This window comes from Homo sapiens, chromosome 5 (assembly GCF_000001405.40).
Source record: "Homo sapiens chromosome 5, GRCh38.p14 Primary Assembly".
Taxonomy (NCBI): Eukaryota; Metazoa; Chordata; class Mammalia; order Primates; family Hominidae; genus Homo; species Homo sapiens.
Genome location: NC_000005.10, coordinates 59,054,445 through 59,071,184, shown reverse-complemented (window position 1 = coordinate 59,071,184; position 16,740 = coordinate 59,054,445). Strand labels below are relative to the sequence as shown.

The window sequence follows — 16,740 nt, the reverse complement described above, 5'->3', positions numbered from 1 at the left end:
CATCAGACTTCTGAAGATTCGTTTTGAAACCTAGAAAAGAATGAAGTGATGCCTTTTAAATTCCGAAGGAAAGTGATTCTCAACCAAGAATTCTATACTCAACCAAACTATTGATCAAGAGTGAGCATGGAATAAAGATTATTTCTGAGGTGCGAGCCTTTAAAAAATGTATCTCTGATGCATACTGACTCAGGAAGCTACTGGAAAACGTGCTCACCAAAACAAGGGAATAAACTCTAAAAACATTACCCTTGGGATAATAAGGAAAGAACATCCCAAAGTGACAGCTGAGCAAGAGACATGGAGAATAACCAATCCAGGTCAAAGAGGCCTCTGGATGAGATTTCTTCAAGAAGATGAATTTAATAAAATTCTTGATGTGTTTGAGCCATACTTAGATTTTTGTAATATGGGAAAAGTTTGGGATTGAATTAGTGATAAGTATATATGGACATCTAAGGGAACAAAGAAACTAACAAAAGACAAGAATTTTCAAGAAGGAAAACAAAGAAAAAAAGGTAATCAGGGTATGTTACATAGTTTAGCTGCTTATAGTTTTTCTTTGGTTCTGCTCATGGAAACACAATGACTATCAATCTAAGTAAGACTATAATATATTAGAAGGATGGGTGATGAGAAGTGTGAAGTGTTGCAAAGGTAAATCCTTATCTTCCGCTATGAAGTATCAATAAGCAATGCCCAAAAAAATGAACTATTAAGAAGTAACTGTAAAGTTATATCATTTAGAGATAGAGTGGAGTATAGCAAATGAATCAGCTAAAATATTTGAAAATGGGTACCCTCTGGGGAGTGGAAGATACATGTATGTATTGTGGGTGGGGGATGCACTGCAGGAGATCTCTTTTTTTAATCCTTGTGGTACTACTTAGTTCTCTAAACTATTTGCATCTATAACTTTGCTAAAAATAACATTTAAATTTAAAAATTGATCACTCTTGTAATAAGTTCAAATTGAAACAAGGAGATAACATAGTTGCTAAGTTTTATTTTTGGACATATTTATAACATTGTATATGTGTTAGTGAGAATACCATGTAACATCACTCTCAAGCAGTACTTCTAAAAGTAGAAATTGCTGTAATATTTCTCAAAAACTATCTGGCAATACACATTAAGAGGTATAAAAATGTTTATTCCTTCTGACTTAGTACTTCTGCTTCAGAAATCTCTTACAGTGATCTACCTTCTAGAAAGACTGGAGATAAATACATCAAAATGTTCACAGTAGTTGTCTCTGAGTGGTAGAATTATGGGTAAAAAAAAGATGGCTTGTTTCCATTTTTCTTTTGCACCCCTCTGCATTTTTTCCAAATAATCTATAATGAAGACAGGCTCCTTTTATATTTGGAAATAATTTCCAAATATAAACATTTTAATTTTATAACATTTTAAATTTTTCAAAACACTGGTCCTCATAACAAGAAAAGTTATTTGTTGCAACCACAGTAGACCAGGTTAATGGTGCCAAGAGTGGAATGCGGATAAAGGCTGACAAGGCCATCTGGAACTGTGAGTCATTCAGAGCATCACAGAAGAGAGATTTTCTGCAAGTACTAGCTGTGTTGACTGTGACTGCTGTTTTCCTGGTTGCTCAGGAATCACCCAGGGAAGGAGAGGGCTTCCCCACGGGATTAGGGAAAAAAAAAAAAAAGCTTCTTGTTCCATAAGAGAGTCTACAGATAGGATGAGTAATAAGGGATAGATTTTACTAAGGTAGAACAAAATGTTAGGACGCTGGTACGAGCACCACTGAAATATCCCTATATCAAGTTTTAGTCTTTTCATTGCATCTTCTGAACCTGCTGGAGATGCTTTCACATGGAACGTATTTGCTATAAACTTTTCTTTATCTTTTGTTCAATGCTGTGAAGTTTGCTAATCTTAATGAACCAAGTCTCTTCATGCTGACAACTCATTGTAAAAGAGGTAAAACTGTGTTTCCATGGTATGGGGAATGGAGAGGTATAAGGAGGAAGATGGATTTAAATTGATTTTTGGAATGCTTGCTTTATTTTATCAGTTAAAGAAAAGGTCTAACGGATTATTTAGATAACTTTAGGCTCCAACTGCACTGATCTGTTTGTCATTCCTTTAAGAAACCATTTTGATTCTGACTACTTGAATTTGCACATTTTGTTCCTTCTCTCTGGAATACCCTAACAAATTCTTTCTGCCTGATAAACTACTTACTCTTCCAGGTCAAGTTGAAATGTTCCCTTCAGTGTGAAAACTTTCATGACTCAAAAAATAACAATTATAATAATTACAATTTGATGAGCTACCTGGCTGTTTACCTAATTCTCACACCATTAGATGAGCGAGGTAGTTTTAGGCTAACTTTAAAAAGGAGGAAACTGAGACTTACAAGACTTGGGTATGTGGCCCAAGAGTACATAGCTAGATTTGAAACCCAAGTCCAAACCCAGGACTTCCTGCTTAAAGCCCCTTCTTTTTCAAAAACTACATTACCTATTGATTATTTTGCTTTACATGTGCTTACATGTTGATCTTCCTCAGTGGACTGCCTTCATTCCTTAATAGGAAATAAATTGTCTTTTTTGGAGGTGTTACATTTTTGCATATAACATTAATAAGATTAAAATTTTCATTTGTTGTTGACATTCTTTGCTTGACTCTACACTCCACGGGATAGGATCCTTGGGCATAGAAACCACGAATGCTTTGCTCATCACTGAATCCAGCATCTGTCAGTGTCTGCCATATAGGAATTGCTCAATATACATTTTTGAGTAAATAACTGAACTAACAAATGAGTGAACAAAAGAACAAATGAATAAAAAACCTCAGATCTAGCCCCTAACAAAAAATACTTAAAAAAAAGTTTTAGTGTCTCAATTGTCTGTATAGACAATGATTTCACAAGTTCACGTGAAATACACTACCAATATCAACAATCATGTTAAATCAAATGAAATCTATATCCTCTGGGAATGCTTGTGGTATGGCTTAGGGACAAGCTTTACTTATGAACAATGATACTGAGACTTCACAATAGTCAGCTGTGCAGATGTCAGACTTTGCATTTCACACATGCTTTTAACCTAGAGCTCAAATAGGCAGTTTTAAGCCCTGGACCTCAAGTCAATGTGGTTCATGTTTTGTCACTTCAAGATCTACAATTGAACTTCATTACGATAGTCTTAGATGGTTTTTCATAAATTTTGAGTCATGAAAAACTGACAACATATGAGTCTCCAAGTACCTTTTAATATATGCAATATTTTACCTACTTAATTAATACATGTGTTTATTTGATAACTAAAAAGTTTATAAAGTCTAGAAATAAAGAAAAGTCCATGTCCTTTTTCTTTTTTGTTTTCTTTTAAATGAAAACTCATGAGAAATAAGAGGGCAGAATGCATTAAATTATTTCTTCTGTAACAGCACAATTCTATATCAGATTTTAAATACAAAAGAACATGCAAAGGGATAACAGCATTGACTTCAGTTCTAATATAAATAAGGCAGGAAATTGGGTGAAATCAGTTTTTCCTCTAATCTTACATGGAAAAAAATTTGTCATTTGGCAAACCCATATGAATCCGATCTGTTTGGTTTATTCATCCATGCAGTGACATTCAGACTCCAAAAACTGTATCAGAAACCTAGTCAATATTTAAATGCCATCATATAGATTAGAAATGGAATAAGGTATAGGTAACTTACTGCATTTCAAAAAAAGTACTAATTGAAACATATTGTCAAACATATATCTTTTTCTCTCTTTAGAAACCTATGGCTATTTTCTGTCTTTCAGCTCACGCTACAGAAAGGCCTATTTTTCCTTCTGTCTTAGTCCATTCAAGCTGCTGTAACAAAATATCATAGCCAGGCACAGTGGCTCATGCCTGTAATCCCAGCACTTTGGGAGGCCGAGGTGGGCAGATCACTTGAAGTCAGGAGTTTCAGACCAGCCTGGGCAACATGATGAAACCTAATCTCTACTAAAAATACAAAAAAATCAGCCAAATGTGGTCACAAGCACCTGTAATCCCAGCAACTCAGGAGGCTAAGGCACTAGAATCACTTGCACCTGGGAAGGAGAGGGTGCAGTGATCTGAGATCATGGCACTGAAATCCAGCCCGAGTGACAGAGCAAAACTCTCTCTCTAAATAAATAAATAAATAAATAAATAAATAAATAAATAAATAAATCACGAGCTGGGTGGCTTATAAACAACATAAATTTATTTCTCACAGTTCTGGAGACTAGAATGTCCAAGGTCAAGGCACGGTAGACTTGGTATTTTGTGAGGGCTCATTTCCTGGGTCATAGATAGTGCCTCTGGCTTTGTCCTCACATGGTGGAAGGGGCAAGGCAGCTCTCTTGGGCCTCCTTTATAAGCCACTAATCCCCTTATAAGGGCTGTGCTCTCATGACCTAATTATCTCCCAAAGGCCCCACCTCCTAATACCATCACATTGGTGATGAGGTTTCATCGCATATGAATGTGGGGAGGGACACAAACATTCAGACTATAGTATCTGCTTTTTGCCACAGAATGAAGAATAAACCACGTCTTATAAATAAAAATCTTTCCATGGTCCCCCACCACATAAGGACATGACCAACTTCCTTTGCTAGTCATCCATCTCTCATAATCCTCTCCAGCCCATCTCTGCAGCCTCATCTCCACCCACACATGCATTCTGCTGTAACAAATGGTGGGCAGGCTTCCAAATGTACTGTGTTCCCATGAAGTTGCACCTTTGCTGATGTTATTCTCTTTGCCTGGGTCCCCTCCCCATCTATTCACTCCTTTCTGCACTTCACCCTTGCTCTTCTTGTGCCCTAATAGCTCCTCCTTTTGTGACACATCAAAAATTGCCCACTGTAGGAAGCCCCTCCAAGACTAAGAGTGCCTCTCTCTGTGTTCCTGCATGTGCTTTTGGAGCCCTTATCACACAGTTGCTCTAGAATTGTTAGCTTGACCACACTGTGAGTTTTCTTAAGGGCAGGGACTTATTCCTCTTTGCATATCTGGAATCTTACCCAGTGTTTAGTACATACTACATGTTCAATAAATATTTGTTCAATGAATCAATGAATTGATAGGTTTTCTTTTAGTAGAAGGAATAAGGTACATTTTTTTTAGAACAGCATCCGAAAAGCAAGCAGGAAAAATTGGGACATCTTTGCTTAAGGTAAAAATGCTTTTATGGGGACCACCTTTGAAACTCCATCTACTTGGATCCTTTTAGTCTTCTTTATGAGATAGGAATATTAATTCTTAGATCCAATTAAAGAAGGTCTAGTTACCAAGGAACAAAACAAATTGGTATAGAATGGACTTTCTTATAAGAGAGTCCCAAATCATAGATCATAAGGACAATCTTATGTTGAAATGTCTCAATAACTTCCAAATGCCGATGTGAATGATATCATCAAACAGTGTGAGTCAAAGGAAGAAATGGGATTCCTAAGTTTTCATTGTACTCCTTGACTATTTTATTGGTGTACAGTCTCTTGACAATTATTTTCTCATCTTCTTTCCCAAGGAAACTTTAGATTTAATATGTTTATTCTGCAAGATGTTTGGAGACAGGTATACACCCTAAAACCACCATTACAATCAATGCCATAAACTTATTCATTGCCTCCAAAAGTTTCCTCCCATCTTTTTGGGTTTTTTTGTTTTGTTTTCCTTTCATGGTAAGGACACTTAATATAACAGCTACCCTTTTACCAAATTTCTAAGTATACAATATAGTATTGTTGATTGTATACTTATGTTATACAGCAGCTTTCCAGAACTTATTTTGCAAGACTAAAACTTTGTAACCCTTGACCACATCTACCAATTCCCATCTTCCCCCAGCCTCTGGCAACTACCATTCTACTTTCTGCTTCCATCAGTTTGACTATTTTGGATTATACATGTAAGTGAGATCATGCAGTATTTGTCCTTCTGTGTCTGGTTTATTCCACTTAGCATGATGTCCTCCAGTTCCATCCAACTTGTTGTAAATGACAGGATTTCCTTCCTTTTTTAGGGCTGAATAATATTTCATTGTATATGTGTGTGTGTGTGTGTGTGTGTGTGTGTGTGTGTGTGTGTGTGTGTGTGTGTGTGTATATATATATCACATTTCCTTTGTCCATTCATCTGTTGATGGACATTTAGGTTGCCTCTGTATCTTAGCTATTACAAATATGCTGCAGTGAAAATATCTCTTTAAGATCCAGATTTCAGTTCTTTTGGATATATACCAAGAAGTGGGACTGCTGGATCAAGTTACTTCCTGTTTCGAAAGTAGGGCACCCTCTGGACATTTCTACAACTGAAGTGATTGATTCTTACTTTTGGAAGTCAGGCTATTTGTTGGAATGGTGGGGAAAAAAGCTAGAGCTTAAAAATAAATCTAAAGTTGGAGAGGGGATTATTACTGATGGATGCATTAATTCAAGGGTTACTGATACTCTAAATACATTTTTAAAAGTTGTTTGATTAACAAGTCAAAACAGATGGTTTAATGACATTTTAGAGAGGTTTAATAGAGATCCAACTGAATTAACAAATCACCATGGTGTGCAGAATATTGAAAATTCACCACTAGTAGATTTATGGCATATTTCTGGGTATTTCATTCCCATTTGGTTTATTATGATAAATCACTGGGAAACGGGTAGCCTGTAGGACATGACAGCAAACCACACTTTGGCAGGACCAGCATCAGGGCTGCGTGCTTTTTTAGGAGGCTATGTAGTCTAGCTAGCACAGAGTGACCCAGTGAGAGCTTGGTTGGCTAGGACTTTCTGGTGGTAGCCCACAGAGCTCACCTGAAAGAGTACCAAGGATGAAAATATCATCTTGGCTAATTGGTCTGCTAGTTGATTTAAAAAATAAACAATAAAAAAAATTTCCAGTGTATTTTAGCAAAGTTTAATATTTTGAAGGGGGCAGAAATGTAGCATATTTTGGGATCTTAAATCTGAATTTGTGTCTTTTTCCAGACTTTGTCAGTGTCTTTGTCTCTCTCTCCCTCTGCCCCCTCCATGTCTCCCTCCTTCCCTCCCTCCTTCTCTCTTTCCTTTCCTGGTAAGTATACTAGAAAAAAGTATATTTTTTTCTCATTTTTTTTAACTTAATAACAACAGCAACAATGACAACAGTCAAACTCTTGAATTCTGGTCACAATCCAGATCAATAATTTTTTCCTTGTAGTTACCTTGGAATTAGGTTCTTAGCCCCTCACTGCTCTCTGTATATTTCTGTACAATATTCATCAGTTTAAATAAGTACTTCAATTTCATACCAAAGTGCCAAGACTATCCTATTTTCACTCATCTTTAACTTTCTTCTTTTTCATTTCCCACACCCCTGCCATTGCCAAACAAAACTGATTATCTCTGTTTTTATCTTTCTTTTAGACTTTTTAAGGCAATAAAAAATTGGCTTGCTCAGAAGGCTGATACACTGAGTGTTAGAATAACCCAAAGGTTAGAATGCTTTGGTCAACTTATGGGTATTTTTGATCACGTATATCCATTTTTAAACCTGCCATTCATGATGGATCACTGACCCTGGCCCTGGCCCTGACCCATCTCAAAAAGTTACTAGCATGATTACTGATTAACACTTAGACTGTTGGCTTGAAGTTTAGTAGCCTGAAGGAAAATTTCCAGAGGCATTATAATAAGGAAGTTTAATTAAGAGTTAATGTTGACTCAGGAATATTATGTATAGCATTGATCCACAGTGTTGCTAATGAATTCATTATGCTGCAAATGCAAGTGATTTGTTAGTACATTGGCCAATAAAAGTGAAATCTGTCTCAACAAGAATGTTGAAAGAAAGAAGGCAGTGAAACTTTCATCTCCACTGGGAGTGAACTAACTTGCCAAATCTGGGTCATCAATCATAGTAAAATGTTCAAAACAAATAATGCATCTTTCATGGTTCACTGTATTCATCAGCACTTTTGAAGTCACCAGTCTAGAGTAGTCGCCTTTGGCCAAGTTTTCAGTAGCCTGTGGTTTAGGCAATAAGCCTCAACTGTCTTTCTCGAGGATATGTTCCCAGGTGGTTGTACTCCATGGGCCATTTTCAATCAAATCTGAAAGGACAAAAGGGCAGTTCTGTTTATATGAAATGACATCATATTATAACCTCAAAATTGTTGTCTTAAAAGTCAAATCATTATCTAAAAGGTCTCTTAGAATTACTTAGAGCTTGAATGCAAAAGACTGAATTTCCCACTCACGTACTTCGCCAACACTCATTACATAGGCAAAAAAGTATAGTAAGTGTCACTTATGTGAGCCTATGTATGTATGTAGTGTTATAGGGGGTGGGGGTGGCAGGAAAGACAGCTCAAATATGAAATAATTGAATTATTCATTGCCACTGTTCTGATTGCCTTTAAAAAAAGTTTTATCTGGAAGTTATTTCAGACACACTGGAAAGCTTCATGGGTAGTGCAAAAAAAAAAAAAAAACCACATGCATTCACTCATTGTAAACATTCCACCTCATTTGCAGTATCACTCTATGTGCACATACACACAAATATACATACACACACATTGTCTTTTTTTCTCTGAACCACCTGAGAGAAAACTGCACACATCATAGCCCTCTATCCCTAAACTCCTCGATGTATTCCTCCCAAGAACAAGGACACTTTTCTGTATAACTATAGTCTCAAACATCTGATTGCCTTTGAATTTTATAGCATGACTTATTTATACCTTTTTACTTCGAGTTCTAACTCAGATACTGAGCTATAGAGGAACAGCTCAACTATTAGTTGAGGGATAGCTCAGATGTCTGATGGAAAAAAGTCACATCAGTAACATTTTGAATTCTGCAAATATACACAATATGCCAATGTATGGGAGATAACTAAATACTGGTTTTAGAGAAAATAGATGAGTTAATACAAATAGAGATTCCCCTTAATTAATAGATCTTATATGTTTGGTTATATGTCTTATCCATGCTATTATAGCTAGCTAGCATTCATTAGGACAGCCAGAGAATCTTGTCTTTCTGTATTTTTATACTGTTTTTCTTCTTCTGATCAGCCGATTCCAGGTTTTGAAAGAATGAAGTAGTTCCTACTTAGATAATGCTATTGCCTTGCTCCTTAACAGTAAGCAGTGGAGAAGCAGAGTGGACGCTGGTGATGCTGCCTTTAGTCCTGGAGGGAGTGTCAACCAGTGGGTAATCATTCTGACCCTGCAACACAACCATCCCTTCACTATTTCAGTGAAGGTCTCTACTTCGGTGGTAGGTCTCTACTCAACATGGTACTTATAGCCGTTTTATACTTGCTATCTTAAAAAAATATGCAGGCTTTCACTGCTGTGAACAGATAATTGATATTTATGTTTCATAATCTGTGAAGATAGCTAACACATTTCTGACAGTTGCAATTTTTTTTCCCAAAACGAGTTTGAGCATGCCTATCCCTCTCTACCCAAGTATATTTAACAGCATTTCTATCTATTGGGGAATCTGAGTGAGGATGACAACGTGTCAGGGATTAGAATGGACAGGAAGAGTCTCTGTAAGAGGAGGGTGTGATGCTGGAGCAATTTATGAAAATTGGGTCCCCTGGTAACTGTAGTGGATGTTATACAGACAGTCCTGCAGAGTCATCCACGAGGCTGACTCACTGACAATGTACACATAGAGGTGGGCCTCGAGTGTGTGCAAATAACAAGTTTACTACTGCAGGCAAACTCTTCGTTTATTCATTTGACAGATTTATATTGAGGGGCACTGTTCTAGGAGCTGGGGATTTGGTAATAAATAAGATAGTCATGGTCCGTAACCTCATAGAGCTTACACATAAACTGTTTTGCTTTAAAATATTGTACATTCAGAGGTGTTTGTGCTCCGACCATATGACTGCAATATGTCATTTGATAAACCTTTCAGGCATGACTTGGACCCACCCAGAACTTAGCTTTAAAGCTATCAGATTGACAGGAGGAGAGAACACTGGCTTTAGATGACAAATCATGGAAATAATTATGAAAAGACCATCCAGTTTTTAATGACTTTACAAGAATAGTGTTCTTGTGAGACTATTGAATAAGAAGAAATATATGAACATTTGTATCATTCAACTGTCTAACTGATACCAACACCAATAAATATATGAACATCCTTATTATTCAAGTGTCTAATGAGTGAGGGACAGTGCCTGTAGGAAGGAGAGCCTCCCAACAATGGAAGCAGTGTTATTCTTCATGGTAGGGAGACCATTTTTTGGTTCCTCACAATGACTTCCAGGCTGGAATGATTTCCAAGTAGGGCAGGGAAGACAAATATCTGAAGCCTAAGGGAAGCTCCAGGGTGATTCTTGTAGTTTTGTTTGGCAGACTTTCTAAAAAGCATTGTCAGATAGTTTTGGAGCAAGCAGTTTAGCCATCTACTACCACACAATATATTCAAATCAGAGTAAGCTGGAAGAAAGTCATCCAACATCCAAGTCTCAGCCTGGCCTATGTGAACATACTTCTTCTTAAGACTAAGCTGTAGGGGTACTATGCTTATTACCTCGGTGTGAAATAATCTGTACACCAGCACCCCATGACATGCAATTTACCTATATGACTAACCTGCACATATACCCCTGAACGTAAAATTTAAAAAATTTTTATAGATATGTTAAATTTGAGATGTTTATTGAACATCAAAGCAAAAATGGTGAATGAACAGATATATGACACAAAAAAGACTAAGGTATAATCCTATATCATGAGTGAATAGGAATTTTTTGTTATTGGTGTTTGCGTTAGTTGAGATTTTATTCAGCAGTAAATAGAGAGATTTAAAATAGAAGTGGCTTAAGGAAGACAGATATTTCTCCTTCATGTAAAATCTGAAAGTTGGCAGTCCGAGGTTAATATGGCACCTCTATCCAGTACAGTCTTCAAGGACACGTGCTCTTTCCATCTTATTGCACTGTGAGGTGTAGCCTCTGTTGCTAAATTCAACTCACCATCCAATATGGCTGCTCCGACTCCAGCCATCAACTTCACATTCTAGCCAGTAGGAAAGAGAAAACAATAAATACAGGCAGATAAAAAGATAGATGACAAATTTCTCTTAAGGGAAGTTTCTAGCACATCATATAATATCTACATAACGCTTCTACTACCAACTCATTCACCAAAACTTAGTTATATGGCAACACCTGGCAACCAAGGAGGCTGTGAATTTTCTCTATTTTGGGCAGTCACATGCTTACATGAAAACAGGTATTTGAAAACAAGTGATGAAGAAAAGCATCAATATTAGGGGACATTTAGCAGTCTCTGCCACAATGTTGCCTATTAATAATCCTGCATACATTTTAAATATTTAATATCAGTCTGCAACACTCTATTTGCAAGGTAATGTATAGTATAATCTTTACCATATGAACTTAGTAGCCATGGTGTTCAGGAAAGTTGTGTTATTTTGTGCTAGAATATTTTACCTGCCCTAGGTAAGGGCCTAAAGATAAAATGTGCTAGACTAATTAATTTTAATGGCATATAGCAAGAGATTTCCAGCGTTAAAGATTGCATCTCCACCTGCAATTTGGGAAAGGAAAAACTGATAGCACAAAATAAAAGTAGTGGGTGTCCTGAAAACTGTCTGATGCTCTTCATGTTCTTACCAACTCATATCCTCATCTAAATTTGAATCACAGGTACATTCTGACCTTGTCGTAGAGAGAGTCCTAAAGTCTCACGAGAGAATTACCGTGCTTGTTCTAACAAGACTGTGTTCCAGCAGGCATGCCAAAATTTGATAGCTACAAATAGGGAGATTTGAAAGGAAAGAGGTGGGAGAGGTAATTTCTTTTAACTCAACTGCATCTGGTGGATTAAGGTAGACAATATTACCATTTTGCTGACAGAAGGCAGACATGGCACTAAAGAGGGAGAATGAGCAACCACAGAGCTGATTTAATTTCCAGTGGGGTTTATGGAAGCACCAAAACATGATGTAGCCAAATGTTCCTAAAAGTATGAAGTAATTTAATTTGTTCCATCATTACAAGAAATTAAAGCCAAGCACAATTACATCCCAGTAGTAAAAGGAACCCGCTGAATTGCCATTGTTATTGACTAAATGAAGTGAGATTTCTGATTACCTTGTCCAGCACATTTTAATTTCTGTCTGTCCATTTATTCCAAATCACATTACAGGGCCTTAACTGATCTTGACAAAATAAGCTACATTATTAAGGTGCAGTTTAACCTGAGAAGCTTTAATTACTAGATTAGAGTTTTCAAATGGGCATGTCTTCTAGACTTCAGTACATTTAGGGATGTAATTATTAGAGATTCTTTGTTTCTGATGTGCAAAAGAGACCCAAGTTTAAAAGGAAGACTTAAACTTACGGAAGTGATTTTTTTTTTTCTTCCACCAAGAGTCTCTTTGTAGACAGGTGTCTGTTCTGTTGGGAGTGGACTTACACCTCCTGAATGCTGTGATTGAGAGAGCTGCCTCCATAGTGGAAAGCCCCCGGTAGAGGGTAGTACCCAGATTTCCAAGGGGAGGGGAGTTGGGGGACTAAACGATGTACAGTGAACCCTCTCATAAGTAGGGTGTCTAGATGATTTAGCATTCAAACCAGAACACTTTTTAGAATGAAAGGCAATGCTATTCATAATTACACTGGTATAACAGGCATAGACCTTGGAAGTTCCAGGCCAATTAGGATGTATGGACTCTGTACCTATAAGGAAGACAAGGCAATAGATATGTAAACAAATCAATGTGATAGTCATTATAGGCATCTGGAGAATGAAAGGCTCTATAGGACACTGTGGGTGGGTGGGCATGGAGAACAGTCACTCTCTTAGGGATTTCTCTCCCCTGGAACAAAAGTTACACTAATCATGTGACATCTCAGAGCATGAAGTTTGTAGCTCCCTCAACCATATTCATATTCCTCTAACAGTCCAGTTAATGATTCTCAGATGCATTAGAAACTATGGAAATATTATAGAAAAGAAGCCTTAACAGGGGAAGTGTTTCATGCTTTTTCAGTTCCATTCAACAAACATTTATTGGATACCTAGTATATGACAGCCAGTGTTTAGCACCAGAGATCAAAAAATGAATTCATTATGGTTCCAGCCCCAGAGAAATTCAGTCTAGTAATAAACACATAATTGTGATAGACTGTTTAGTGATTTAATAACTTAAAGAGTTAACTTCTGATTTGGTTCTCATGCATCAAACATAATATTTGCCAGTCTCTATCTCTACAAGGAGCCCTGGATTTTTCCCAGTCCCCTACTAATGCTAGATAATATGGCAAAATACACAGGCTGATCAGGCTGTTTTAGAGACTCTTTTAAGCAGAGATCTTTTGTTTTCCAGACTGCTAATTTATTTTTTTCTACCCAGAAAGCCCTTCCTACCATCTGAGCTATTCTGACCAAATCAGCGAAGACAAGCTACAGAGATTTAGGATGTCTGGGCTAAAAAGGTTTGCTTGTTTAATTAGATAAATAATTTGAGAATGCTTTCCAGGATTACTGTTCCTAACCACATTGATAAATGCTGGGAAGACTATCTCAGTTATCCAGCATTGGATAACAGACTGTTGGAGAAGAGTGAAGCTTCAGTGTGAGCTGGGAAAGATCCCAAAAATCCTAACATGCTCTAGGTGCCTGCATATAAAATTCATCATCATAGTGACTTTAGGACCACTTGCTATTTTTCAGGCACTGCTTTACATACATAGTCCTATTTAAATAATTTTCAGAATCATACTGTGATATAGGTACTGCTTTCTCCATTTTATAAATTAGAAAACAAGCTAGGTTAATTCACTTTTATAAGGTGCCAAGCTAGTCAATCAGTGGCAAAGCTCAGATTTGGAAACAAGGACTGCCTTACTCCAAAAACTGTTCTCTTAAATTTCAGTGTTTGTAAGGTCCCTCACTGCCCCAGCATAACCCAGCATTTGGTCCATTCAAGGATTAAGAGGAACAGGGATCTGCCAGCCTTGTTTCTGCAGAAAAAAATGGGGGAGGCAGAGCTGGATCTAACCAAACAGGTTAAATTTAAGTGCCAGGTTTCCGTGAAGGAGAATTATGCCAGCAATGGTTTCTCACCTTAATGAATTCATTTCTAACCATTCTTTGCCCTGCAAAGACAGCAGGATCCTGGGTCCACAGGGCCCAGTTCATGGAGAGGAGAAAGAGGCACATAATGGGAGCAAAAAGTGAAGAATTCAAGCTGCAAAATGTAACGGAATTCTCAAAGTGCTGGGTTCTCTTCACTCCCTTATCTGGCAGCTCCTGTTTTTTCTCCTTTGCCTCCCACAGTTGCCACTTTAAAAAGTCATTTTTAATGTGGCACATATACACCATGGAGTACTATGCAGCCATAAAAAAGAATGAGTTTATGTCCTTTGCAGGGACGTGAATGAAGCTGGAAGCCATCATTCTCAGCAAACTAACACAGGAACAGAAAACGAAACACTGCATGTTCTCACTCATAAGTGGGAGTTGAACAATGAGAACACATGGACACAGGGAGGGGAACATCACACACTGGGGCCTGGTGGGGGTTGGGGGAGCAAGGGGAGGAAGAACATTAGTACAAATACCGAATGCATGCGGGTCTTAAAACCTAGTTTGGGCTGATGGGTGCAGTAAACCACCATAGCACATGTATACCTATGTAATAAACCTGCACGTTCTGCACATGTATCCCAGAACTTAAAGTAAAAAAAAACACAAGAAAACAAACAAACAAAAAAACTCCTTTTTAAACATTGTCTCAGCGTCCAGTCGGTTGAGTTTCTGCACTTTTAGACACTCAAGCCCCTTCTTTCGTCCTTTGCTCCAGTGGTTGTAGCTTCCTACCTCCTTCTTACCCTCACCCCTAGGCTTCCACTTTAGAGAATTTGGAGAACTGGGGAAAGAAAAGACTGTTTTGTGCATGGTGTGCCTGCAGCCTAGTGCCATGAGCTGGTTCTTGCCGTGTCTGAGCCACCAGATCCACTCCTTCTGTGGTTCACACGCTATTCCCTCTATCCCAGCCAAGCTTGCAAACTCTGATCATGAACTACCAGGTGGAGGCGGGGCATGGATATCCTCCCCAGGAAGCCTGTCTGGAACCTCTGAACTTTTCTGACCTGTGCATGCCTCTACCACAGCACACCTTAATTTCTTTTGAAATCACTGCATTTGTTCATTTGTTAGTTGTTTGCTTCTAGATGGTAGACGCCTTGAGGCCAGAATTCTTCTGAACTAAGCTTTGGAAGTTGAGCACCTCATAGAATACCAAGCTTCTCGTATTACTGGTGGGGTTCAACAAGTATTTGTTGAGAAGTGATGAATCAAGCTAAAGTTTAAGTAGGCAAAGATGAATCACGTCATAACCTCTGGTTTCCCAACTTTGTCTATAGAAAAGGCTCCTTGCTAGGTAAAACAAAAACAGAAGAAGTATGTGGATTCTCTTCAACTTTGGGACTCATCACCCTGAATCTCTCAGTTATCTCAAGACTGATTCCCTCCACCCTGGAGGGCCTCCCTGCCCCTCCTTTGTACAGCAGTGAAAGGCAGAAATTGAATAGAAGGAGGGAAAGAGGGAAAAAGGTCTAGATGATCAAGTGGCAAAAACAAATAACCCAGCATGAACAAGTATGCAGAGAGGGAACTCTGAGGAAACTTGCTGACAAAAGATAGAGATGGAGGTGAGGTCAACCACAGGGGAATAATGGGGGCAGACAAGTCTAAGGAGGTAGATTTTATAGGGACTTCGAATAGATGAACTGAAGTTTGGGGAAGACCTAAAGGCATTAAAAATCCAGTATAAGTTCTTGATTAAGGACAGATATCATAATAATTATTATTATAATACAAGGGGTGCTTTGGGAACATAGGCTATGTAGGAGGGATTGACAGAGGAAGGGAGGAAAGATCTAGGAAAATGAGGGCCAAACGGAAAGGTGTCCTTCTCCTGTTCATTTGCCAATGAAATGCCTAGGATATATGGTGGTCTGCTCCTACCCTCCACAGTTCTAGCCACTGCAACCAGGATGCCCAGCAACCATGTCATTCATTCATTCATATGGTCTATCTGTCTCCTATAGGCATTTCAGTGAGTGGCCGCTGCTTTATGTGTTCTGTTGGTAAACTTGTAGTACCCTGAGAAAACTCACACATTATGGAGAAATTACTTCAAAAAATATGCACAGTAGTTAACTGAAATCTTTTTATGTGTTCTACTCTCACGTGAAGTAGAGAAGTAGAGGGAGAGTTTTTTAATTATAAAAAGGGAGGAAGAGGGAAGAGGGAAACAAAACTAACATTTATTAAGCAAGGTAATTTCTTACCTCAGTGTTTTCAAACCAATTGGTAGATTTCAAAATCAATTTAAGGGGTCACAATTAATACTTTAAAATTAAATAAAATAGAAAACATCAGAGTGAATCATACATAGTAAGGATAAATGTTATTTCATGTTAAATTATGTTTCAATTCTCTGTATTGGCTCGAATATATATTTACTCTTATGTGTATGGTATATACTGTTCCTATATATACATTTCCTTTTTATTTTATATATATAATTCTTTTTATTGGTTTAATTTATACTGAAATGCATGGTTTGTTAAAGACTGTAAACAAATTTTGCCATGACTATTATTTATAAAACACAAGAGTTTCTTTAAATAGGAGTCCACTGCTCTCCTCTACCTTTTAAAAATAAATATAGGTATAAAA

General features: G+C 37.6%; 1 protein-coding gene and 1 long non-coding RNA gene across 27 annotated transcripts in view, besides 1 other annotated feature; one reads left to right on the top strand and one right to left on the bottom strand.

Annotated features, from left to right (window-relative positions):
• Positions 1–16,740, top strand: part of PDE4D (phosphodiesterase 4D) — a 1,553,091-nt gene that overhangs the window by 1,450,944 nt on the left and 85,407 nt on the right. Inside the window, exon 8 of one of the 26 annotated variants that reach the window (XM_047417301.1) lies at positions 1–16,740. This exon is cut by the window's left edge and continues 19,941 nt beyond it. The exons of the other annotated variants lie outside the window; for them this stretch is intronic. The gene's annotated coding sequence lies outside the window, so the exon portion shown is untranslated. 26 annotated transcript variants of the gene reach the window in all.
• PDE4D-AS1 (PDE4D antisense RNA 1) overlaps positions 7,675–16,740 on the bottom strand; it is a 23,745-nt gene continuing 14,679 nt past the window's right edge. The window contains exon 2 of the long non-coding RNA NR_198970.1: positions 7,675–8,100. This is a non-coding gene — a long non-coding RNA (PDE4D antisense RNA 1). The remainder of the gene's footprint in view (positions 8,101–16,740) is intronic.
• Positions 9,556–9,756: a silencer, noted in NCBI's record as "peak5258 fragment used in MPRA reporter construct". NCBI's record gives its function as "represses an SCP1 promoter by STARR-seq MPRAs in K562 erythroleukemia cells {active_cell/tissue: K562}" and the evidence as "EXISTENCE:reporter gene assay evidence [ECO:0000049][PMID:32103011]".